The sequence below is a fragment of the Homo sapiens genome, chromosome 13 (assembly GCF_000001405.40).
Source record: "Homo sapiens chromosome 13, GRCh38.p14 Primary Assembly".
Classification (NCBI taxonomy): Eukaryota; Metazoa; Chordata; class Mammalia; order Primates; family Hominidae; genus Homo; species Homo sapiens.
Window position 1 is genome coordinate 76,965,293 of NC_000013.11, and position 26,011 is coordinate 76,991,303.

Genomic DNA, 26,011 nt, shown 5'->3' on the forward strand with positions numbered 1-26,011 from the left:
TCAAACAATCCTCCTACCTCAGCCTCCTGAGTAGCTGGGACTACAGGTATGCACCATCATGCCCAGCCAATTTTTTTAATTTGTTTTTTGCAGAGACAGGGCCTCACTATATTTCCTGGGCTGGTCTTCAACTTACAAAGGGCGAGTGGAGACCTTGCATTGGAATGCTGGAGTTAGACCTGAGCCCTCTTGTCTCTTCCTTCCATGAGGCTGGAGAACAAGCACTGTTTCTGAGCTGCCCTGCCCTGAGAAAGCCTGAGATGGGGCTAGAATTTTGATTTAAAGTCTAGGAATTGATCTGACGTCTAGGAATTGTGGCAAATGCTTGCGTTTTCCCTCTCATTCCCTTAGGGAGAACAACCAAAGATGCTGCTCAGTCCATTTTTATTGTTATAGGGCTTAGGTACAAGCAAATTAGCCCTCCACATGGATCAGGCCAGATCACCAGGGAGAAACCCACCCTGAGCCTGGGACAAAGGCTTCAGGCTCACAGAGAAAGTTTCCATTTCAGCTCCCTCCCTGTACTTCTGCATCCTTGGCACACATCCATGGCCCCGAGTCAAACTGCCTCAGTCAGCAGAAACATTTTTGCCATCTTTAAAGAGCCCTAGTGCTGGCTATTGCATATGTTTCAGGGATGCCTGAGGCCATGCACACATTTGGTGATTCATGAGAAGGACCCAGCATTTAGTAGCCCCGTGGCTAGGGTTTACTACAGTGCAAGGATACATGACACGATAAGCAACAGAAAAACACACATGCAAAGTCTGGAAAAATCCAAGCACAGGCTTTTAATGCTCTCTCCCTCCCCTGAGGAGACTCATGAAGCAGGCTCCTTTTGTCAGCAGCGAAAAATTCAGTAATGTGTGTGCAATGTTTCTGCCCTAGAAAGAGACTCAGCATTCAAAGATTTTACATGGTTGGTTATGTAGGCACCCTCTCCCTAGAAATAATCAGAATTCCAAACTCAAAGAAGAAAAGCGGGTATTCAGCATAAACCAAGTTGCTTGCGCAGTCTAGATACAATGAATCATTCTTATCAGCTAGAGAGTGGGTTAAAGTGCTATGTTCCTAGACACCAGCCAAGGGCCAGCCTGGTAAGCAAGTGTTTCCTAAAGCAGCAGCCTCAGGTCTGCTATGTTATTTCTTTTCTGCGTGGCTTTTAAACCTGAAACCCCTTCCTTTCCTGTTTGTGCAGCTTTGCAGGGTAGGAAAATGTTATATAAAAGTTGGACCTCACCTCCACTTTAGGCATTGCCACTGCTCTGTTGCACTTGAGCCCTGTAAGCTGTGTGTTCTATCACAGTATTAACTAAAGCTGATATCCCCAGTAGGCTTAAAACTGTAGGATTTCTGCACAGAGATCCGCTGTTGGTCTGATGGGCTTCCCTTTGTAGGTGACCTGTCCTTTCTCTCTGGCTGCCCTTAACATTTTTTCCTTCATTTTGACCTTGGAGAATCTGATGATTATGTGTCTTGGGGTTGATCTACTCGTGGAGTGTCTTAGTGGTGTTTTCTGTATTTCCTGAATTTGCATGTTGGCCTGTCTTGCTAGGTTGGGGAAGTTCTCCTGGATAATATCCTGAAGTGTGTTTTCCAAGTTGGTTCCGTTCTCCCCATCTTCTTCGGGTACTCCAGTCAATCATAGGTTGAGTCTTTTTACATAGTCCCATATTTCTCGGAGGTTTTGTTTGTTCCTTTTCATTCTTTTTTCTCTAATCTTGTCTGTGTGCCTTATTTCAGCAAGATGGTCTTCCAACTCTGATACCCTTTCTTCTGCTTGGTCGCTTCGGCTATTGATACTTGTGTATGTGTTACAAAGTTCTCATGCTGTGTTTCTCAGCTCCATCAGGTCATTTATGTTCCTCTCTAAACTGGTTATTCTAGTTAACAGCTCCTGCAACCTTTTATCAAAGTTCTTATCTTCTTTGCATTGGGTTAGAACACGCCCCTTTAGCTCAGCAGAGTTTGTTATTACCCATCTTCTGAAGCCTACTTCTGTCACTTCATCCATCTCATCCTCTGTTCAGTTCTGTGCCCCTGCTGGAGAGGTGTTGCGATCATTTGGAGAAGAGCCATTCTGGCCTTTCAGGTTTTCAGTGTTTTTTCGTTGATTCTTTCTCGTCTTCATGAGTTTCAATCTTTGAGGCTGCTGACCCTTGAATGAGGTTTTTGTGGAGACTTTTTTGTTCATGCTGTTGTTGTTGCTTTCTGTTTGTTTTTCTTTCAATGGTCAGGTCCCTCTTCTGTAGGGCTGCCGCAGTTTGCTGGGGCTTCACTTCAGGCCCTATTCATCTAATTTGCTCCCACTCCTGAAGATGTCACTCAAGGAGGCTGGAGAACAGCAAGATGGGTGACTCCTCCTTCCTCTGGGATCTCTAACCTCAAGGAGCACTGACCTGATGCCAGTAGGAATGCTCCTGTATAGGGTATCTGGCAACCCCTGTTGGAAGGTCTCAGGTCTCACCCAGTTGGGTGGCACAGAGAACAGGACCCGTTTAATATAGCACTTTGAATATCCCTTGGTGGAGGGGGTGTGCTTTGCTGGGGGGAAATGCACTCGTCTGGGCTGTCTGGGTTCCTCAGAACTAGCAGGAGGAAAGACTAAGTCAGCTAGTCCGTGGAGACTATGGCTACCCCTTCCCCTAGGGGCTCAGACCCAGGGAGATCAGGGTTCAGTCCCTGAGCCCCTGGCTGGAGTTGTTGGAGTTCCTGCAGGGAGGCCCCACCCAGTGAGGAGGGATGGATCAGGGTCAGGCCTGAAGAGGCACTATGGCTGCATCTGCCACAGCCAGTGTATTGGGCTGTGGGGAATACCTCTTGGGACCAACCCGTCCAACCTCCCTGGCTTCAGCGGGGAGAAAAGCATGGCCTGGAGCTATAGTGATGGCTGCCACCCTTCCCCCACCCTGGGAGCTTAGTGTGTTAGGCAGCTAGCAGTCCCAGTGTTGGCTGCTGCCCCTCTCCCAAGGAGCTCAAATGGCTTAGACAGCAGGCAGTGACAGCTGTGGTGCTCGCCACTCCTCAGCTGGGAACTTGGCAGGCTTAAGCAGATTCTAGCTGAGTGGCTGTTGAGAATCTCCATGGCTCCGTGGCTGAGACCCTAGGTCCCAGTGGAGTGGGCTCACGAGTGGGATCTTCCCATCCGTGGGTTGCACAGTTCCATGGAAAAAGCACGATTTCCCAGGCTAGGTAGCACGCTCACTCATCACCTCCCTTGGCTGGGGTGTGGGGGCTCCCCTGACCCACGTGGCTCTCGGGTGGGCCACCACACCACACTGCTCTTCCTTGCTCTCCATGGATCATGCCAGCCTCCTAGTCAGTTCTGATAACAGAATCTGGACACCTCAGTTGCTGGCGCAGGATTCACACACTGTTATGGTTTTTGCTGGGAGCCTCCGATCTCTGTTGCATAGTTTCACATGGCTGGGGAGGCCTCACAATCATGGCAGAAGATGAAGACCAAAGAGATGTTTTACATGGCAGCAGGCAAAAAAGCTCTCATTCTCTTTATGGCTGCACAGTATTCCATAGTGTATATGTACCACATTTTCTTTATCTAGTCTATCATTGATGGGCATTTAGGTTGATTCCATGTCTTTGCATTGTGAGTAGTATTGCAATGAACGTACATATGCATATGTCTTTATAATAGAATGATTTATATTCCTTTGGGTATATACCCAGTAATGAGATTGCTGAGTCAAATGGTATATTTGTCTTTAGGTCTTTGAGGAATCACCACACTGTCTTCCACAATGTTTGAACTAATTCACACCAACAGTGTATAAGCGTTCCTTTTTCTCCACAACCTCGCTGGCATCTGTTATTTATTGACTTTTTAGTAATAGCCATTCTGACTGGTGTGAGATGGTATCTCATTGTGGTTTTGATTTGCATTTCTCTAATGAAGATCTGTGATTATTTTAAGCCAGCTGCTTATAATGAGAACATGTGAGTTTTAAAGGAATGTTTATAAATTATATTTTATAACAACTTCGCTTGGAAGGTTTTATCTAAAAAACATCACACTCAGAGAACTCCCGTGTGATAGGCCCCAGGGACCACCGTTAAGTACTGTGATAGCTTGTGTAAAGGAAACTCTTTGGGGGATACTGGGTAAATAATGGGCTTTCATTCAATTTAACACGTGTGTATTGAGGGCTTACTATCTGCCAGGGGATATTCTCAGTGCAGGTAATAGAGCAATGGACAAAATAGGCAAAACCTCCTGTTCTCATGAGCTTACGATCTATTATGGGTAGAGAGACAACAAGCAAAATAATTGAATAAGATGAGGAAAGTGCTCTGTGCCTGTTCTGGGCAGCCTCTGCTTGCTTTGTTCCTCCCCTGGTAGGAATGTAAGCTTCTGGTGCTGAGTTAGGTTCAGGGACTAGAAGAGTCCAAAGAATGTGAGCCTCCCTTTAATGGAATTAAAAGCTTCCAGTTCTTTCTGGGCCATGATATAACCTATGACTGCAAAAGACCAGTGGTACCATACAAAGGTAGCTTCCTTGTCGATTCTAGCAAGACTTCCCTGCACAGAGCAAAGCTATAGGGAATCAAGGTAGGGGGCAAAGGGGCAAAGTCATGACAAAATGTGCTGCTTTTCATTCCAGCAGAGTTGTGCAAGTATGTACATGTGTGTGCAATCTCTTCTCCCAACAAAAGATCTACCTGCAATACTTCGCTTATTTAAAAAAATTATTCATTAGTAAAATTACTCATCCTCTGTTCTCTGACCATAAAAAAAAATAGCACCGTAATAGTTCACAGAAAGTAATAATTCAAGACATTCAAAGCAGGTGAGTATGTCATAGGCAACTACTCAGGCTCTTGCTTAAACCCTGGGTGCCCAGTAGTTTGCAGCTGTGTGGCACATCAAAAGAATTTATGATACATGGTAACTTTCTTAAAGCTTCATGGCTCAGCTGGGAATGGTGACTCATGCCTGTAATCCCAGCACTTTGGGAGGCCGTGGCAGGAGGACTGCTTGAGCCCAGGTGTTCAAAAACAGCTTAGGCAATATAGGGAGAAGCTGTTTCTACAAAAAAGTAAAAAATTAGCCAAGCATGGTGGCGTACACCTGTAACCCTAGCTTACTTGGGAGGCTGAGGTGGGAGGATCATTAGAGACTGGGAGGCAGAGGTTGCAGTGAGCTGAGATCTCACCACTGCATTCCAGCCTGGGCAACACAGCAAGACCCTGTCTCAAAAAAAGGAGGTGGGGGGGGGTCATAGTTTTATTGGAATCATAAAGAACAGAACAGGCCAGGCACGGTGGCTCACGTCTGTAATCCCAGCACTTTGGGAGGCAGAGGCGGGTGGCTCATCTGAGGTCGGGAGTTTGAGACCAGCCTGACCAACATAGAGAAACCCTGTCTCTACTAAAAATCCAAAATTAGCTGGGCTTGGTGGCACATGCCCATAATCCCAGCTACTTGGGAGACTGAGGCAGGAGAATCAGTTGGAACCGGGAGGTGGAGGTTGCGGTGAGCCGAGATCACACCATTGCACTCCAGCCTGGGCAACAAGAGCAAAACTCCGTCTCAAAAACATAAAAAATAAAAAGAACAAAATAAACACCTTCCAAGAAATAACTAAAATTAGTTTAGTCTTCCAGCGCAGTTGTAAATGCAGAATTCAACATTCCGATATTACCATCTCATTTAAAAAGTTATCCTTTTTGTGCAGTTATTACAAACAAGTCAACCAACCCCAGTTACAGCTGGCACCTATGAAGGAGCCAACCTGGAGGTTCAATAAAAACTTTAAAACAGCCCAATGCCCATCTTTCAGAAGCATGGCATGATAGTGTTGCTTCTGACTCTAAAAAATAAAAAATGTACTTTTTTAGAAACCATGTATGTCAGTATAATTGCTACTTACTTATGAGTCAAGATCACAATTAAAGTACCTACCATCAAGTGAAAGAGTATGTAATTCATCTGGTAGGAGCTAAACTATTTTTACCTGAACAATTTCTTCTAAATATTATACGTCAAGCACTATATCTCAAGCCTGCTGTAAAACATGTCCTACCATTTTTACTAATCCACCAGAAATATCATGCAAAGAGCCAGGTGCAGTGGTGTGTGGCTATAGCCCCAGCTACTCGCGAGGCTGAGGCAGGAAGCTGGCTTAAACCCAAAAGTTCAAGACTGTAGTGCACAATGATCACATCAGTGAATAGCCACTGTACTCCAGCCTGGGCAACATAGTGAGACTTTATGCCTAAAAAAAAAACCATGCAGAAGGGCCATGCCATGAATGCACATGTCAGTGCCATTTTGTTGGTAACATCCCCATAGGATTTACTCACATCCATGTTTACAGCTAGGGCCCTGTACAGCAGTGTCTCTGTCATCACCAGAAAACATATCATGAAGAGAAGTTATAACTGAGTGGGGAAAAAAATGTTCCTTAGGCACCTGGCAACATGACCGTGAAAAAGGTTAAAATTACTGGCTTACACTGGCCTCTCAAACACTGCCAAGTTCAGAAAAAAAGCTCACAGATATTATGCACCCAAGAAATCGGTCCCAACATGAGGCTTCACTTAAATACCCAGTTAGTAAGATAAATGAAGGGTAAATGTACTAGGATCAATATGAAATAATTAAAGCAAGCGCCACTTGATTCTTACAGCTGAATGATATGATAACAGAATTGCCACGTTGAATTTTTTTCTTTCAGAGTAAGCCAATGTATTAATAGTTTGAAAGAATATATTTTCCATATGATTCAAGCCATCTAGTCTTATCACCTTAAACCACAGCCCCTTATCACCTCCACCTCCACCCTAATGCCAATCACCAAATGCTGCAGCCCCGTAATGAATGATAATTTGTCTAGCACCCTGGGAGGCCGAGGCCGGGGGATCACTTGAGCCCAGGAGTTCAAGACCAGCCTGGGCAACATGGCAAAACCCCATCTCTACAAAAAATACAAAATTAGCCAGGTGTGTTGGTGCATACCTGTGGTCCTAGCTACTCGAGAGGCCAAGGTGGGAGGGTCGCTTGATCCCAGGAGGTCGAGGTTGCAGTGAGTCATGATCACGCCACTGCAGTGCACTGCACTGCCAGCCTGGGTGACAGAGCAAGACTCTGTTACAAAAAAAAAAGATAATTTGTCAAGCTATTAGAAAAGTGGTCACGTCTATATTTATCTGCAGGAAGGAAAATAGGAAAGCGCCGTAGGACCTGCTTACTCGGCAGGCAGCTTTCTATCCTTTTCTTTCCCTCTGTCCACATTATTATCCTGACCCGCTGTGACTTCACCAGCAGGAAGGTTTCGGCTGCCAAGCCAGGGGAAATGCAGCAGCAGTAGCGATGGGCTTCCTCCCACAGGGGAAGGCTTGAAGTGTCCTTCACAGAACTGCCGACAGAGCAGTCTTTCCCATCCAGGGCAGCTCTGAGCTACTCCAAAGCCACCAGCAAAGACGACGACCCAGGATTATTTAAGGCAGCTGACAAGAAGAATGGATGAACAAATCTTGGGCAAAGAATGAGGGTATAGAAGAGCAACACATAACACACGTGGTTAGGATGTAAAAATAGTATTTCTTTAATGTCTTCTAGAATTGATAGTGACTTTGAATTAATTCATTAACTTTGTTTTTTTCTTTCCCATTAACTTTTTTTAAAAAGTCAGTACCGCAGCTGGGCGTGGTAGCTCATGCCTGTAATCCCAGCACTTTGGGAGGCCAAGGCAGGCAGATCAAGAGGACAGAAGTTTGAGACCAGCCTGGCCAATATGGTGAAACCCCGTCTCTACTAAAAATACAAAAATTAGCTGGGTGTGGTGGCGTGCGCCCTACTCGGGAGGCTGAGGCAGGAGAATTGCTTGAAACCGGGAGGCAGAGGTTGCAGTGAGCCAAGATTGCACCACTGCACTCCAGCCTGGGTGACACAGCGAGAGTCTGTCTCAAAAAAAAAAGACTCTGTCTCAGTATCACAACCTATAATCGTCAAGATACCTTGGAGATCTTTTTGTAAAAAACTGATGACAAATTCTGAAACACACTCAAATCATTAAAGACATTACATAGCTTCAATGTAGCCTTATAGCAAGTGGACTCAATAGACATAAAGGGCTTATATTAACCTAATAATAATAAATAATCATTTTGCATCAACAGTATGAAATTCTGAAGATTCAAGCTGGGACACCTATCATGATGCTAATTTTTGCTAAATATTTCAAGTTTGGTACGAAGTAGAACTATATCTATTAAAAAGCTTTTGAGATAACTCCATACATTTTAAAAACATAAACCTATCCTTATGTGCTAAAATAAAATATTTTTTAAGTAGCAGTAATTTTGACATTAATTTGCTAGTAATACTACCTTAGATGTGAAAACACTAATATTAGCACCAGACTTCAGGAGCAATAACCCTTACAAACGTCTCTCGGGTTAACCGTATTAGCAGTAGAAGAAAAGAGTGAATTCTCAAAACACCCACAACTCAAATAAAATGAATCTCCCTAGCCCTTTCTCTCTCTGGGGATTTGTAGATAGATTTAAACTTACATTTTATTCATAATGTGTAGCATGTCTCCAAAGACAGTTATCCAATATCCATGCCTCCTGGTATTGATGCCCTTTTGGGGTCCCCTCTCCTTGAATCGAATCTCACTTTTGATCCATTGAAAGCTGCAGAAGTGATGCAGAGAGACTTCTTGGCTACATTGTAAGAGGAAAGCCCAAGTCTCTTGTGCTAAAATTCTTAATTGGGAGGACATTAGGTTGAGAGAGCTCAGCACTCTGGGTTCCTACAAAAGCAACCTGAAACCCAACTCAGAGTGAACGGTCACGGTCATCCCAGGAAAACAACACTTAAGCTTAACCAATCAGAAACCACCAACCAACCTCTAACTAGAGACTTTACCAATCAGAAATTGCCAATGAACCTCAAACTAGTGACTTTTCACTTTAACCACTCAAATGGTTTTTTGTGGGGTTTTTCTTTTTTTTGCCTTGCTTCCAAGAACATCTAGAGCTGCCCAATTCATGAGCTGTCTATTCAAATAAACTGGTTAAAATTTGAATGTGCCTAAGTTTGTCTTTTCACACTTAGAATCCTTGTTCTGGGGAATGCCAAATTCGCATGGAAAAAGCCTAACCACCCTGAGGCCTACGAGTTATGCGGAAGCCCAGGATTGCCACAGGGAATGGTCACATGGCTGCATGGCCAGCCTTCAGCTCTTCAGCCATCCTAGCCCAGGCACCAGACATGAGAGTGAAGACACTGTTGTGGATATCCAGCCAAGCCAAGCCTTTAGATAGCTGCAGCCCCAGCCTCTACCTCAATGCAACATTATTAGACACCCCAAGCAAAGCCCAGCTACCCCAGCTAGTACTGGGGCTCCTTTTTCTGCCTAAGATCCAGACCCACCAAAAGGTTTCCTCCCCCTCTCTCTAAGACCAAGAATGTCACCATACCTGATCAGACTCTTTCACAAGATAACGTGCAAGTTAATCTCTGTTCCCTGATCCATTCATTCATTGTCCCTAGAAATCCCCTCAATGGAATTCTTCCACCCCTTCCTGCAACCTGTTTCGCCAGGATGATGTATAAGCTTTTGAACCCCCTTAGGGGATGGGTAATCACTCTGTGATTCGCCTGGTGTACACCTTAATTAAATTTGTATGCCTTTTCTCCAATTAATCTGCCTTATGTGGGCTGACTTTTCTGAGAATCTTCAGAGGGCAAAGAGAAAGCTTTCCTTTGACCTCTACGTTACTCAACCCACAGAACCAAGAAAGATAATAAATTATTGATTAAGCCATGAAATGTAAGCAATAAATGTCTGGAACACTATATATGTAAAATAGCAGTAAGCAACCTATTTGGTAGATGTATAGATAGCAACAAGCAACACACACTCCTGATCCAATACAATGATTCCCAATTCTCACTGTGGGACATCTCCAAAGTGTCTCCAAAAGCTTTAGAAACATTGTGAATGAACTGATATAATCTGACAATAAAACTAACTTTGTTTAGTTTGAAAAATATAAACATAGGACATACTATTCCTTATGAAGGGAATTAAAAAGAAGTCAAAGAAAAATATCTGAGAAAATTGTACTCATAAATGAATCTTTTATTTAAGTAAATAAATCTTTTTTTTTTTTTTTTTTTTTTTTTGAGGCAGAGTCTCAATCTGTCACCCAGGCTGGAGTGCGGTTGTGCAATCTTGGCTCATTGCAACCTCTGCCTCCCGGGTTCAAGCAATTCTCCTGCCTCAGCCTCCTGAGTAGCTGGGATTACAGGCACGTGCCACCACACCCAGGTAATTGTTTGTATTTTTAGTAGAGATGGGGTTGCACCATGTTGGCCAGGCTGATCTCAAACTCCTGACCTCAAGTGATCTGCCCACCTCGGGCTCCCAAATTGCTGGGATTACAGGTGTGAGCCACCATGCCCAGCCTAGTAAATCAATCTTTTATTTCAATTTATTTATTTCAATAAAAGATTGATTTATGGTTTTATTGATCACAAATCAAATTAAAGTCTAATTTTAAATCTTTTATTTGAAAAGGGAGCGTTATCAATCTAAAACTGATTTCTGCCCTGAAAAGGTCCAGAAACAGGCAAAACCTCTACTGTAATTTTCAAAGTCTGAAGGCCTCAAAGGGTGGTCTGCCTGCAACACCCCACCTGTTGCCTAGAAGCCGAATCAGAATCTGCATTGTAACAAGATCTCCAGGTGAGTCATGCGTCCATTGAAGTTGAAGAAGTACTGGCAGAGAGCAGCAGTTCCCAAACTTGTCTGCACATGAGAATCATCTGGGAATCTTTTTAAAATTCCGAAATCCAGGCCATACCCTAGACCAACGAAATCATGGGACACAGGCGTTGATGGTTTTGAAGGCTACCAGGTGATTCCAATGTGCAGCCAACTTCGAGACCTAGTGGTCACCCTAGATAGGGCACTGGGAAATCACTTGGGGAGCATAAACACTAATATTGGTTTCCACCCCCGGAGAGTCTCATGTCGCTGGTCTCAGGTATGACCTATGCATCTGGAGTTTTTAAAAGCTCCAGGTAATTCTCATGTACAGCACAGTTTGTACAGCCACAGACCTGGAGCCAGGCACAGAAGATTTCAAAATGGCAGCTGAGCCTGCACCACTCCTTGGCGAAGAAGGGTTTAAAGTCAGTGAACCTTAATTAAAATGAACAGTTGGCCTCACAGTTTTCAGCTAACTCACCAGGTAGAATGACAGCATCAAGCTTGCTCGAGTTCAGGTCTGCCAAGTCTTGGACGTCCCTCCGGGCTCTCCTGGCACTTTCCTCCAGCACATTTCTCTTCTTTCTGTTGGGCTCCCTTTCAAGTGATTAACGATGAGCATCTGCTCGACATTAGGCGCAAATACCTTCACCTTCAAAAATAGAAAGAAAAACACATGATGTCATTACCTCTATGAAAACAATCAAGCAACACTATCTCAGAATCTAAACCAGGAAGCCAAGACCAAAAGCCGCGAAGTGATTCTGTATGCCTTCAGGGCCAACATCAGCTAGAAATATTATAGCTCAACCACAAAGAAGAAAGTGCAGGGGCCTTCTAAAAGGGGGAAAAAAAGAGCTGTAAATTAGCTTCCAAAAGGAAGGGAGATCAAGTAGATTACAGAGAGGTGGCTTTTCAGATAAATATATATATATATTTCTTTAAATAGATGAAAGAGAGGATGTAATTTTATAGATAGGAACATACAGGACTCAAAAAATTGGAGGATTAAATCAGCCCTTGAGATCCTTCAAAGCAGTGCTTCTCAAGCTAGCTACACATTAGAATCACCTGGAGAGCTTGGGCACCAACGAGGCCAATTCAGTGGAAATCTCTGGGAGTGAAGAGCCAGCCTGAGCCTTGCTCCAGCTTAAAATCTCCCCAGGCGATTCTGTTTGTCAGGGCTGGCAACCACTAATCTAAAGCAAATGGGAGATAAAACTCAGGGCTCAGAGTTAAAACCCCGGAGTCTTCAATGCCAAGACCCCGCAGCAGGGCATTTGGTAGCTCTCGCTTGATCCACCTCCATGCCTCCAGCCCCACCAAGCTCTGGGTCACCCCCGGTTCATCCTCAGAAACACTCGAGAGGGGAGGACATCACTCTAGTTTCCCTGTCTCCAACCCTGGGATCCTGTAGGGGCCCTGATCTGGGGAAACATGAGGACGTGGAGGCAAGGGAGGAAGCTCAGGGGAGACACTTGTATATTGGGGGTTGCCTTTGAGCCACACCTTCTTCACTGGCTTCTATTCCAACCTAAAACACACAGGTCAGCTTCACCAGGAGGTACACGAGGCTGGTCTGAATCAAATGTCCCTTGACTCTCTGAAAGGATGGCATTAGGGCTGGGAGGCATAAAAATCAAGAGTCTCAGCCTCTTGTTACTAAACTTTGTATTTCACTAAAGTATATGCTAAGATTCTAAACATTCTCTCTTCGTATGTTGTTTTATAAAATTGAATAATAGCTCCTATCTGATATACCATATATACATACATATATGAGCTTAGAATGCTCATATATATATATATATATATATATATATATATATATATATATATATATGAGAAAAGACTTTGAATATTCTGAAGGGCAAGAAAGATGCAGATGCAGATACAGGCTGGGCATGGTGGCTCATACCTGTAATAGCAGCAGTTTGGAAGGCCAAGGTGGGAGAATTGCTTGAGGCCAGGAATTTGAGACGAGCCTGGGCAACATAGTGAGACCCCTGTCTCTACAAAAATTAAAACTAAAAAATTAGCCAGGAATGGAGGTGTGTGCTGCAGTCCTACCTACTCAGGAGGCAGAGGTGAGAGAATTGCCTGAGCCCAAGAGTTTGAAGTTACAATGAGCTTTGATCATGCCACTGCACTCCAGTTTGGGTGACAGAGCAAGACCCCGTTTAAAAAAAAAATGCTAAAAACATGGATTTGATTTTAAAGAATTCCCCAAACAAGTTGGCCTTCAGTTGTTTCACGGAATAATCAGATGAACATGCTCAAGGAGTGAAACACGTTTTCAACATGTGCACGTCCTTTGGAACTGATAAGAAAGCACTGAGGCATTTACTGGGTTGTAATCTAGACTCAATAAGTCCATGTACCTCTCCCGGACTTCATCTCAAGCACAGAGACCTGAGTTCATTAAATACTCACAAACCCCAGTGTGTAGGACATCGCCCTTCACCCATTAGGAAATCAGTAACTACTTGTTGAAAGGATGAATGAATAACACCCACATTAATCTTAATACCCTTCAAGTGAAAGAGGTGCTAGATATTTCCTTTCCTAAGTTTTAGAGAAAAGAGAATTGGCTTCTAGGACTGACTTTGTCACTGCCTAGTGATGACCTTAAAGAAGTCATTTTTCCTCCCAGGGAAACTCAGCCAGGAGATTGAACAGAGATGTCCTCCAGCTTCAAACTTCAAATCCTGCAGACAAAGAAATTAATGAATTGTATATTTTAACTTATTAAAAAGAAAGGTGCAGCAGCTGTGGCGGTTCCTCACAAAGTTAAAGAGAACTACCATGATTCCACTTCTAGGTATATACACAAAAGAATTAAAAGTAGGGACTCAAACAGGTATTTGTACACCCATGTTCATAGCAGCATTATTCACTACAGCCAACAACCCAAATGTCCATCAACAGATGAATGGTACACAAAATGTGGTGTTCTACATACAAGGGAATATTATTCCTTCCTTAAAAAGGAAGGAAATTTTGACAAGTGCTACCACATGGATGAACCCTAAGGACATAGGCCAAGTGAAATAAGGCAGTAACACAAAGACAAATATTATATGATTCCACTTGTAGTAAGTACCTAGAGTAGACAAAGTCTTAGAGATAGAAAGTAGAATGTAATAGAGGCTACCTGGAGCTGGGAGAAAGGAGAATGAGGAATTAGTGTTTCACGGTTGCGGTTGCAGTTTGGGATGATGAATATGGTCTGGGGACGGACAGTGGAGATGGCTCCACAGCATTGTGAATGCACTTAATGCCAGTCGATCACACACTACTTAAAAATGGTTAAAATGGTAAAGTTCATGTTACATATGTTTTACTCCCTCCCCCTCCCCTCCAAAAAACAAAACACTATTGGCAAAGGGGTAGCAGGTGAGGGGCAGGCTGGTCTGGTCCTTGTGACTGCGAACATCCCTGCTGCCCGTTTTTTGTCTGAAGCCCGGCTGGGTCGCTGGAGATCCAGCGGAGTGTGCGGAGGGAGGCGTGTTGGATACCTTTTAAAAATGAGAAGCCCCAGGCCGGGCGCGGTGACTCACGACTGTAAGTCGCGGCCCAACCCTTTGGGAGGCCGAGGCAGGTGGATCACTTGAGGTCAGGAGTTCGAGACAAGCCTGGCCAAAATGGTGAACTCCTGTTTAAAAAAAAAAAAAAAAAAAAAAATTAGCAGGGCGTGGTGGCAGGAGCCTGTAATCCCAGCTACTCGGGAGGCTGAGACAGAAGAATCGCTTGAACCCGGGAGGCGGAGGTTGCAGTGAGCCCAGATCGTGCCAATGCACTCCAGCCTGGGCGACAAGAGCGAGACTCCGTCTCAACAACAACAACAAAAAAAAATTAGAAGCCCCTGGGGACGGAGAGCATTAGGACAAATACCTAATGCATATGGGGCTTAAAACCTAGATGATGGGTTGATAGGTGCAGCAAACCACCAGGGCACATGCATACATATGTAACAAACCTGCACGTTCTGCACATGTATCTTGGAACTTAAAGTAACAAAATAAAATAAAATAAAATAAAAATAAAAATTAGAAGCCCGAGAGAGGGAAAACAGCTTAGGAAGGGGTTGCCCCCGCCACTCCGCAGGCTGCAGAGGGAAGAGAAAGCGCCCCCGTGGCGCCCCCAGGGCCGTGCAGCCCAGACCTAGCCCCGCAGCCCCACATACCCCAGCACCTCCGAAGCTGCGTGCAGAGCCGCTCGCTCCCACCTCCGGCTGCACCCGCGCGCCCCCTTGCGGCGGATTCCGCTCTGGCGCATAGCCCCACTGGAGCGCTGGCGCGTTGGCGATGGGGTCCCAGGTGGGAGAGAGATCTGTCCGCTGAACCTGCGCATCCCGGCCCCTGCGGAGGCTGCAGAGATTCTGCCCTTTCTGTTCGGAGGGAAGAGAGAGGGCGCCAGGGAGACATAAGCTAGATTTTTATTAATAGATAACTTTATTTGAAAATTATCTTTAAACGAAAGAGCAAGGGGAAAAATGGATTCTATCCTTTGCCGCACTACTAAAAAGTAACTTCCATTCAACTTATTTCAAAAGAGAACGTCGATATTGATATGCAATACTTTTAATTGTTTTAAAATATTTAATTGTGTGCAATAATTTTTTTAACTGCTCAGTTCCAAAGCTGGAAGTTGAAGTGATGTTTTTGACAGGGAAGACTGAAGAAGAGACCCCATTGCATCTTCATCGGAGCTGGAGGACAAAAAAAAAATTCTTAGGACACTTAACATGGAGAGTTTGAGATCCGGATACAGCGTGGGCTGTAACTAAGGGCAGTGGAAGCAGGCAGCCTTGGCTAGGATGCCGCTGCTCCTCATGACATTTTGTCTCACAAACTTAGCAAGTTCTTAGAAAGTCCAAAACGCCATATGTGTTGCCTAATTTTCTTATATGATCACAGGAAATAAATAGGAAAAATGCAGATAATTTGCATTTTATTTGATAATTTTTAAATAAAAGTTACTTGTTAATAAAATTTCAGGTAGGATGCTCCCTGAGTTTCTTCTGTACAATATCATTCATTGACCAGATATTTGAAGAAAAGTTATTCTTTGTTTTTTTGAGAGCAGGTACTGTTTATTAACTGACCAGCTTAGAAAAATAATCATGGTAGACACCTTAGTTCATTATTCTAATAAGCTGTTGATCTGGTCCTCCCTGTTGCCAGCATCTCCACCTTCTACAAAATGGGTGGTCTTTTTCTTCTTTCCACCTCATGGAGAAGATAATTTGAAGGACCACAGGAAGTTATTTGCTTCTTCGAAGCATTTTCCAACAGTATAGATCTCATGAATCAGATCTTCCGTGCAGATGATGCCATATTTACCAAGCGTTCGAGCAATCAAAGCGTTATCTGTCAAAGCAATTCGCTTCTTATTGATTTTGCCATAACCCCGCTTGTAGATTAGTTTATTTACTGACTTCAGATTTGGGTACCCCCTGCAATATATGGTTCTACAATCCCCAGCATGTTAATTGAAACCTTGTTAAGCTTCACAAAGTTTCCACTGAAGATTTGACGAAGGCGAAGAAGCTGCAACACCTTTCGGACCTTTGGGCTCACACCACTGATACCTCTGATCCTGATGACAAATGCCAATTTGGGTTCTGCAGGTACATAGAAGTTGCCGGCTTTGCTTGCCATCCTTGCCATTCAAATTTAAGTTCCGTATATCTGTCTATATTCCTTGTGATAGTGCTTCGCTTTTTCATAGATAAGCTTCCTCCTTGCCTTTCGAAGCATCTTTTGGGCAAACTTCTTTCTCAGGCATTTGATCTTCAGCTCTGTGAAATTTCTTCGCTTTTTCTTAAGGGTTTCTGGTACAGCAGGAAACTTTTTCTTCTTCTCTTTGACACTCTCCATGGTTCCAGCGGGAAAAGAGGAACTATTCCTTTATTATTAAAAGATGAAATCTGCAATATCCAGCAAACATTACTTTCCCTACTGGATCTTTAAATTATTAGTCCCATGTTCCTCTGATAAAAATTCACTAAGCCTTTATGTCCTGGGTGCTGAATAAACCCTGCATTTACTTTCAAGAAGAAACCTACCTTTCTTAACCTGGAGGTAGATTGCTGCTCATAAGTGACAGATGGAGTACTGTAAATCCCCGAGGGTGATTCTAGCTCTTGACCCAGTAGGATATTTACTGTCAACGATGCCTAGATTTAGAAAGAGGATGTAAACGTGGTGTGACACCAGACAGGGCAAAGAGCAACTGCTTGTGGAAAACACACATGCATCCGTCATCACTGCAGATGAGGAGGAAAAGGAGGACAAGGAGTGAATTTGAAAAGCAGGATAACTTAGTGTAGGTCTGAGTGCCCAAGATCAAACCTGACTCCACCCTCACTGCCTTATGTGATCCCGAGAAATTACTCAAAATATCTGTACCAACGTTTCCTCAGGCTGAAAGTAGGAAGTAGCACCTTTTTCATAGAGTTGTTGGAAAGATTAAAAATAGTAAATGTCATCTCTGTCAAAACCTTGATACTAGTGTATTTCTGTTCACTGAATGGTTTGTACCCCTTTAGTTTCCTTGATATACGTTGATTAAAAAAAAAAAAAATTTGACTGGGCCCGGTGGCTCACGCCTGTAATCCCAGCACTTTGGGAGGTAGAGGCAGGCAGATCACCTGAGGCCAGGAGTTTCAGACCAGCCTGGCTAATGTGGCGAAACCCCGTCTCTACTAAAACTACAAAAATTATGTGGGCCTGGTGGCACATGCCTGTAATCCCAGCTACTCGGGAAGCTGAGGCAGGGAGGCAGAGGTTGCAGTGAGCCGAGATTGCATCACTACACTCCAGCCTGGCCTACAGAGCAAGACTCTGTCTCAAAAAAAGAAAAAAAAAATCAACAAAATTGATTAAAATGTCTAATTGGCTTTTATTAGTGACTCATAAAACAGGCAGTTGCTAATCAAAATAGAGGGAGCTTCAATGAGCCTGGCAGACCAGTTGGTTTTCCTAAGGTAGCTTGAACAGAAATAGGGAAACAGGAATACAAAAAGTGAATTGGTTAACATCAGTTTACTTCAGGTTACTTTACTTATAAAGGGTTAAAGCAGAGAGGACTTCCTTAACATGCTGACTTAGGCTGACTGGGCCCTTTCTGATTGCTTGCTGTGAATCTCTTGTTTTTACGAAAAGCCAGTCTATTTTGGGAATTTTCCCGTTTACGTTTCAGTTTGATTACAGTTCGATTACTTAGCACGAGCGACCCCATTTTGGTTCAATCTGTTGCGACCTAATGCAGGGGCTCAGTTCAAAACCATGGCCTCTCATACATTTTATTTAACAACACAAAGAAAAGAGTTTTTGTTCTGAAGCCAATTTTCTTGCGGCTATTGATAAATCGATCATAACAGAACTAAAAAATATATTCAATAAACAAGTACAAGATTAAAGAATTGTCTAAACAATGTAATGTAATAAGCAAAATAAATCCAAATCACTTGATTTAGGATTAGGGTAAGGTGTTCCTTATGGCTCCACAGTTTGTTTTTAAGTATTACCTATTAAGTAGATGTCTCACTCTAATCTCTGCCTTCAGTGAATATTATAAATTTTAATTTTATTAAATTCACACTTAAATGATGCTTTTAAAATTATCTTTGGGTCGGGCACAGTGGCTCACGACTATAATTCCAACACTGTGGGAGGCTGAGGCAAGAGGATTACTTGAGCCCAGGAGCATGGGCAACAAAGTGAGACTCTGACTCTACCAAAAACATTTTATTTAATTAGCCAGGCATGGTAGCACAGGCCTGTAGTCCCAGCTACTCAGGAAGTGAGGTGGGAGGATCGCTTGAGCCTGAGAGGTCAAGGCTGCAGTGAGTCATGATCATGCCACTGCACTCTAACCTGGACAACAGAGCGAGACCCTGTCTCAAAATAAAAATGAAAATAAAATTATCTTTGAACTAAAATAAATGATGCTTTAGGCAAGTGAAATTGTCGAAACTCTGAAAATAGGATGTACGTATAGTTGATGTATTTGTTTAGCCCAGTTTATCATGTAAACAACAGGTTAGTATACCCAAGTTTCAGAAACACTTTGGGGGTTCATTAATTTTTGGTTACCTTTAAGATTTTCTTAACCTCTTACATGAATATTTGTGTCAGGGCCAGGCTCTGTGGCTCATGCCTTTAATTCCAGCACTTTGGGAGGCCAAAGCAGGAGGATCGCTTGAGCCCAGGAATTCGAGACCAGCTTGGGAACGTAGTGAGACTCCTTATCACTACAAAAAATTTAAAATTATTTGGGCATGTTGGTACATTCCTGTAGTCCAGCTACTATAGGGGCTGAGAGATGGGAGGATCACTTGAGCTAGGAGGCTATGGCTGCAGTGACTGTGATTGCACTACTGCACTCCAGCCTGGGTGGCAAAGTGAGACCCTGTCTCAAAAAGAAAAAAAGGAGTAGGAAATTAGTGTGTCTAGGGCCGGAGCTCTTAGGCAAACTGGTGAAGCCCCTTCTCAGAATAATGCTTTTAACGCCTAAAATAAAAAATGAGATTGTAAATGAGAAACTAAAAATTAGCTTGGACTTTAATCTGCCCTCGTATTCATTAGCCTGGACTGATAAAACCAGCCTCAAAATTACCAGAAAACAGTACTTCTCTCAAACCACAGTAAATCATAAAGTGTCATAACAACCTCCTTTCTTTTCTACTTAATTTTTTTTTTTTTGCCAAGTCCTTTATGGAAGTTGTTGTGCGTGTCTCTGTTGTCTTTGTGGAAGGCCAGAGCCACACGGTCCTAAGAGCTGGGAACCAGGAAGCATAGGCTGATCTGAAGAAGACACTTCAATCATGGGTGATATTAAAAATTTTCTGTATGCCTGGTGAGGCAAAAGGAAGATGACTCCATCCTATGAAATTAGAGCATTGGGGAACAAAAGTAGGCAGAAATTCTTGTGTGAGGTTCAGGTGGAAGGGTATAATTACAGTGGCATAGGAAATTCCACCAATAAAAAAGATGCACAGAGCAATGCTGCCAGAGACTTTGTTAACTATTTGGTTCAAATAAATGAAGAGTGAAGAAGTTCCAGCTTTTTGGGGTTGCATCTCTGCCCCCACTTACTGATATTCCTGACACTACAGCAAATGCTGAAGGAGGTTTACCAACAACCATGGGAGGTCCTCTTCCGCCACATCTGGCTCTCAAAGCTGAAAATAATTCTGAGGTAGGGGCCTCTGGCTATGGTGTTCCTGGGACCAAGGAGCCAACTTGAAGGATTACTACTCAAGAAAGGAAGAACAAGAAGTGCAAGCGACTCTAGAGTCAGAAGAAGTGGATTTAAATGCTGGGCTTCATGGAAACTGGACCTTGGAAAATGCTAAAACTCATCTAAACCAATATTTTCAGAAAGAAAAAATCCAAGGAGAATATAAGTACACCCAAGTGGGTCCTGATCACAACAGGAGCTTTACTGCAGAAATAACCATTTACATCAAGCAGCTGGGCAGAAGGATTTCTGCACATGAACATGGATCAAATAAGAAATTGGCAGCACAGTCCTGTGCCCTGTCACTAGTCAGACAACTCTACCATCTTGGAGTGGTTGAAGCTTACTTCAGACTTACAAAGAAGGAAGGAGAGAGAGTGGAACCTTACAAAGTAAACCTCTCTCAAGATTTAGAGCATCAGCCACAAAACATCATTTGAGAGCTAAATTTTGAGATTATGCCCCCGCCTGAAGATCCTTCTATGCCAGTTGCACTCAACATTGGCAAATTGGCTCACTTTGAACCATCTCAGTGACAAAACCAAGTGGGTATAGTTCCTCGGTCACCTCCACAATCCAGATGGAATCCTTGGACTACTAGCGACATTGCTGAGGGACCTCTGGCTTTTGCTTCTCCAGAGCAAATAAGCTTGGACCTCAAGAATGAATTGGTGTACCAGTTGGAACAGGATCATGATTTGCCAGCAATCTTGCAGGAGCGAGAGTTACTGCCTGTGAAGAAATTTGAAAGTGAGATTCTGGAAGCAATCAGTCAAAATTCAGTTGTCATTATTAGAGGGGCTGCTGGATGTGGTAAAACCACGCAGGTTCCCCAGTTCATTCTAGATGACTTTATCCAGAATGACTGACAGCAGAGTGTAACATTGTAGTAACTCAGCCCAGAAGAATCAGTGTAGTTTCCATGGCAGAGTGAGTTGCATTTGAGAGAGGAGAAGAGTCTGTAAAAAGCTGTGGTTACAGTGTTCAATTTGAGTCTGTACTTCCTTGTCCTCATGCCAGTATAATGCTTTGTACTGTAGGTGTGCTCCTAAGAAAATTAGAAGCAGGCATTTGAGGAATCAGTCATGTAATTGTAGATGAAATACATGGAAGAGACATTAATACTGACTTCCTTTTGGTAGTACTGCGTGAAGTTGTTTCAGCTTACCCTGAAGTTCTCATTGTTCTTATGTCCACTTCTATTGATACCAGCATGTTGTGTGAATATTTCTTCAATTGCCCCATCATTTAAGTGTATGGGAGGACTTACCCAGTTCAAGAATATTTTCTGGAAGACTGCATTCAGATGACCCACTTTGTTCCTTCACCGAAAACCAAGAAGAAGGACAAGGATGATGATGGTGGTGAGGATGATGATGCAAATTGCAACTTGATCTGTGGTGATGAATATGGTCCAGAAACAAGGATGAGCATGTCTCAATTGAATGAAAAAGAAACTCCTTTTGAACTCGTCGAAGCTCTCTTTAAGTACATTGAAACCCTTAATATTCCCAGAGCTGTGTTGGTATTTTTGCCTGGCTGGAATTTGATTTATACTATGCAGAAGCATTTGGAAATGAATCCACATTTTGGAAGCCATCAGTATCAGATTCTACCTCTGCATTCTCAGATTCCTTGACAGGAACAGCGCAAAGTGTTTGATCCAGTACCAGTTGGAGTAACCAAGGTTATTTTGTCCACAAATATTGCTGAAACAAGCATTATCATAAATGATGTTTATGTCGTTGACTCCTGCAAGCAGAAAGTGAAACTCTTTGCTACTCACAACAATATGACCAACTATGCTACAGTATGGGGATCAAAAACAAACCTTGAACAGTGGAAAGGGCAACCTGGCCGAATACGGCCTGGATTCTGCTTTCACCTCTGCAGCCGAGCTCGTTTTGAGAGACTTGAAACCCACATGACACCAGAGATGTTCCAAACACCATTGCATGAAGTTGCTCTTAGCATAAAACTTCCATGTCTAGTTGGAATTGGCCAGTTTCTGGCCAAAGCAATTGAAACTCTCCCTTTGGATGCTGTGATTGAAGCAGAACACACTCTTAGAGAGCTTGATGCATTAGATGCCAATGATGATTTGACTCCATTGGGACGAATCCTGGCTAACCTCCTCATTGAGCCTCGTTTTGGCAAAATGATGATAATGGTGTGTATTTTCTATGTGGGAGATGCTATCTGTACCATTCCTGCTGCTACCTGCTTTCCAGAGCCTTTTATAAATGAAGGAAAGTGGCTGGGCTACAACCATTGAAATTTTGCTGGAAACGGATTTTCTCATCATGTAGCCCTTTTATCAGTATTCCAAGCCGGAGATGATACTAGAATGGGTGGAGAAGAAGCAGAAATACGTTTTTGTGCGCACAAAAGACTTCATATGGCTACACTAAGAATGACTTGGGAAGTCAAAGTTCAGCTCAAAGAGATTCTGATTAATTCTGGGTTTCCAGAAGATTGTTTGGTGACACAAGTGTTTACTAACACTGGACCAGATAATAATTTGGATGTTGTTATCTCTCTTCCTGGCCTTTGGTGTGTACCCCAATGTATGCTATCATAAGGAAAAGACAAAGATTCTCACCACTGAAGGGTGTAATGCACTTATCCACAAATCATCTGTTAATTGTCCTTTTAGTAGCCAAGACATGAAGTACCCATCTCCCTTCTTTGCATTTGGTGAAAAGATTCGAACTCGAGCCATCTCTGCTAAAGGCATGACTTTAGTCACCCCACTACAGTTGCTTCTCTTTGCCTCCAAGAAAGTCCAATCTGATGGGCAGATTGTGCTTGCAGATGACTGGATTAAACTGCAAATATCTCATGAAGCTGCTGCCTGCATCACCGCTCTCCAGGCAGCCACTGAGGCTCTGGTTGTTGAAGTAACCAAACAACCTGCTATCATCAGCCAGTTGGACCCCGTAAATGAAAGTATACTGAACATGATCCGTCAAATCTCTAGACCCTCAGCTGCTGATATCAACCTTATGATTGGCAGTACATGGTATGGAGATGGTCCAGGTCCTCCTAAGATGGCCCAATATGACAATGGAAGCGGATATAGAAGGGGAGGTTCTAGTTATGGCAGTGAAGGCTATGGCAGTGGCTATAGCAGTGGAGGCTATCGTAGCGGAGGCTATGGTGGCAGCTCCAGCTCCTGTCGGGCAGGATATGGTGCAGGTGTTGGTGGAGGCTATAGAGAAGTTTCCTGAGGTGGCTATAGAGGCAACTCTGGAGGAGATTACAGAGGGCCTAGTAGAGGCTACAGATGATCTGGGGGATTCCAGCGAGGAGGTGGTAGGGGGGCCTATGGAACTGGCTACTTTGGACAAGGAAGAGAAGGTGGCATCTGTTAAGGCTTGGTTATGTCAGTTCCTGTGTGTAGACAGTAAGAAAAAAAAAGCCATGCTATGTGTGACATTTTTTTCCAATGTTTATTTCCCACCAAAAAGTAAATGCATTTTAACCCATTCTGTGGTTCACTGTAGCTTAAGGAAACCAAGCATATAGATGCATTAGTGATTTTGTTTATATTATGTAAAATGTAACGATCTATCTTAGAAATACCACAGTTTGTATTTTTCTTTAAGGAGTAAAGATTTGTCTTTAAAAATAACTTGATATTTTCCTGGCTTTCATTTAATACAATGGAAAATAAAGTATTACACGAAAAAAAAATTTTTTCTTAGAGACAGTATCTCATTATGTTACCCAGGCTGAAGTGCAGTGGCTATTCACAGGCACGATTATAGCTCACTATAGCCTCAAAGTCCTGGGTTCAAGCCTCCTGAGTAGCTAGAACTTCAGGTACATGCCACCTTGCCTGGCTTCCTGCTTTCTTATTCACTAAGAAACTTTGTTCTCTAAAATCATAGATTAGAGACAACTTCGTGTTTGAAATTACATCAGTAACAATAAAATATCCCACCTTTGCTTGAAGGACCTCAGTCATTCCACACAGAGAATTGGCCTCAATTTACAACCCAGATGTCAAGCTTCTGATAAGGGGTTTCCAGACACAAAACTCCATCGCTATTTTAACTTCATAGTCTCCAAGGAAATAGGCCCTTCATCCACTTTGCAGTCTAGACCTAGAGCCTGTGTGTTGATGGCAGCAGCAGGCCGTCTGGAGCAGCCACTACCATCATTGACATACAGCCTTGTTTTGCTTTGAGTCTACCAAAATACTGCTTATTTAAATTTCATCTCAACTCCACACTTCCCCAGAATCCTATCACTCTATCTGGGGAGATGCCATGTGGTCCAGGCAGTCTTAGGCTGAATGGGCAAGGATCCAAGGGAAACCAATTAGATTGAAATTAGTTCTGTCTGTGGGCCCTCAAGATTTAAAAGCCATGGACAAGGGGGAAGCAACCAGTATCGACCAGCGATAATCTATGAGCACCTTCAGCTTGGGGTGTGGGGTCATAGACAAAAAGAATGGGGTTTAATCAGTGTTCCCATCCAAGGCAAAACCAGACCAGAAGAATGGGAGCTACCAGGAGGCTGAGTTAAGACCAATACTAGGGCCAGGCATGGTGACTACAGCCTGTAATCCCAGCACTTTTGGAGGCCGAGGCAGGTGGATTACTTGAGGTCAGGAGTTCGAGACCAGCCTGGCCAACATGGTGAAACCTCGTCTCTACCAAAAAAAAAAAAAAAAATTACAACTGGCACACACTTGTACCCAGCCACTAGGGAGGCTGAGGCAGGAGAATTGCTTGAACCCGGGAGGCGGAGGTTGCAGTGAGCCGAAATCACATCACTGCACTCCAGGCTGGGTGACAGAAGGAGACTCCGTCTCCAAAAAAATAAAAAATAAAAACCAATACTAGGAAGTGCTTTCTTACCATGAAAGCTCCCTGCACACAGAATGAAGAGACAGATGGCAGAAGCAAGACCAGAGGCCTCCACCACTGAACAAGGTCAACCTGAATTTGTTTTTGTAGCTCTGGGAAGTCCTGAACTGAATGGGAGGTTCTACTGTGGCCCTCTACTAACAGTAGATGGAACCTGGAACCATCTACTGTTAATTGTCCTTTTAGTAGCCAAGACATGAAGTACCTATCTCCCTTCTTTGTATTTGGTGAAAAGATTTGAACTCGAGCCATCTCTGCTAAAGGCATGACTTTAGTCACCCCACTGCAGTTGCTTCTCTTTGCCTCCAAGAAAGTCCAATCTGATGGGCAGATTGTGCTTGCAGATGACTGGATTAAACTGCAAATATCTCATGAAGCTGCTGCCTGCATCACCGCTCTCCAGGCAGCCACGGAGGCTCTGGTTGTTGAGGCCATCTACTGTGGCCCTCATACATCATACTGTGTATGGTTCCAGGATTTGTAAATGCTCTAATCAATGTTTTTTTTTTTTTTTAAAGCTGTTCCTGCTGATTGCTTTTTAAGCTAGGCTCAAGTGTGGGGCCACGGAATCCTTCAGGTGCCCTTCAAATCAGACATTACATTTCAGCTCTCAGGGCTAGAATGCTTCCCCCTCTTATCTTGGGCAGGTCTTTGAAGAAGCCAGTTTAGCCTTGGTAATTTTGAATTTGGCCATAGTATACGGAGGAGAGCTAGGTAGCTATCAAAACGCTTAGACAAACGTATGGTAAAATGCAGCCCAGCCTGAACCTCCGCAAAACCCCCAAACCTGGAGCAGCAAGTGGGCAAAGGAGTGTGTGTTTGGGGCAGGGTACTGAGTCCCATATGTAATCAAGAGACCTGGAGGGCCCAAGGAAGTCAGTGACACCCCCACAAGCTACATATCCTCCAATGGATTGTGGTGGTCATCTCCGGCTACCGAAGCCACCTTGCTTATTCCCATAGGCTTACAAACATTATGATGCTTCACACGAGTTGTGGGTGAAGTGAAGGAATTGGAAAGTCCCGGTCTAAGGCCCTGCAAAACTGCTGTCTGGTAAAAACAAGTGACTATGGCAAGGCCCTGAATGTACTACGTATAGACTTAAGTCAGTATTTGTGCCTAACAGCAAAGCATGCCACAAG

The 26,011-nt window shown here is 43.5% G+C and overlaps 1 long non-coding RNA gene and 2 pseudogenes across 1 annotated transcript in view; 1 reads left to right on the top strand and 2 right to left on the bottom strand.

The window, feature by feature from the left end:
* Positions 1 to 11,435, bottom strand: part of LOC105370269 (uncharacterized) — a 44,572-nt gene extending 33,137 nt beyond the window's left edge. The window contains exon 1 of the long non-coding RNA XR_001749929.1: positions 11,224 to 11,435. This is a non-coding gene — a long non-coding RNA (uncharacterized LOC105370269). The remainder of the gene's footprint in view (positions 1 to 11,223) is intronic.
* Positions 15,820 to 16,644, bottom strand: RPL7P44 (ribosomal protein L7 pseudogene 44; annotated as a pseudogene).
* DHX9P1 (DEAH-box helicase 9 pseudogene 1) lies at positions 19,450 to 23,677 on the top strand (annotated as a pseudogene).